The sequence below is a fragment of the Homo sapiens genome, chromosome 2, assembly GCF_000001405.40.
Source record: "Homo sapiens chromosome 2, GRCh38.p14 Primary Assembly".
Classification (NCBI taxonomy): Eukaryota; Metazoa; Chordata; class Mammalia; order Primates; family Hominidae; genus Homo; species Homo sapiens.
Window position 1 is genome coordinate 201,803,432 of NC_000002.12, and position 762 is coordinate 201,804,193.

The 762-nt window shown below is 45.3% G+C and overlaps 1 annotated feature.

The window, feature by feature from the left end:
• Nucleotides 282–482: a silencer, noted in NCBI's record as "peak4013 fragment used in MPRA reporter construct". NCBI's record gives its function as "represses an SCP1 promoter by STARR-seq MPRAs in K562 erythroleukemia cells {active_cell/tissue: K562}" and the evidence as "EXISTENCE:reporter gene assay evidence [ECO:0000049][PMID:32103011]".

A 762-nucleotide genomic window follows, 5' to 3' on the forward strand; every position in this document is an offset into this window, starting at 1 on the left:
TAACACAAATTCCCTGAAAACAGAGCCTGAAGGAAAAGGGGTAGGGTTGTAGGGGCAGTTTGTACAATCCTAGGGAAGTAGAAGTGAGGAGAAGGAGAGAGCAAATATTAGGATTATTGGGTTGGTGCAAGAGTAATTGTGGTTTTTGCCATTGAAAGTAATGGCAAAACTGTAATTACTTTTGCATCAACCTTATAAATGGAAGATTTTTTTCCCTTTCTTTTTTTCTTTCTTTCATCTTTCATCTCTCTCTCTCTCTTTTTTTTTTTTTTTTTTTTTTTTTTTTTTTTTTTTTTTGAGACAGGGTCTCACTCTTTTGCCCAGGATGGAGTGGATGATGCAATCATAGCTCACTGCAACCTCAAACTCCCAGGCTCAAGTGACACTCCCCAAATGGAGCATGTTTCTGAGCTGATCTCAGCTCCACAACATCTCTGGCTTCCCAGTGGTGGAAGCGTGCTCCATGGAACTTCCTGCAGTTCTGGATTGTATCACCTGGCCCTCGCAAGCAGTTGCTAGAGAAGCCTGAGCCTCTCTGGCTCTTGGTCTATTTAGGCTGGTGGGCAAGCGCAAGGGTTTCTCCTGGTCAGTCAGCTTCATGTGTTGGGGCTTCTTGTCCTCTGATGGGGGGAGGTGGCAGCAACAATGAGTGTGCTTCAAGACCCCAGAAATGGCCTCTGTTGCTATGATGGCGACCAGGCTGCTAAAGGAGGTACAGCCAAGCCAATCTGGAGTGGTTCAGAAGCTGAGCCTAATGCACAA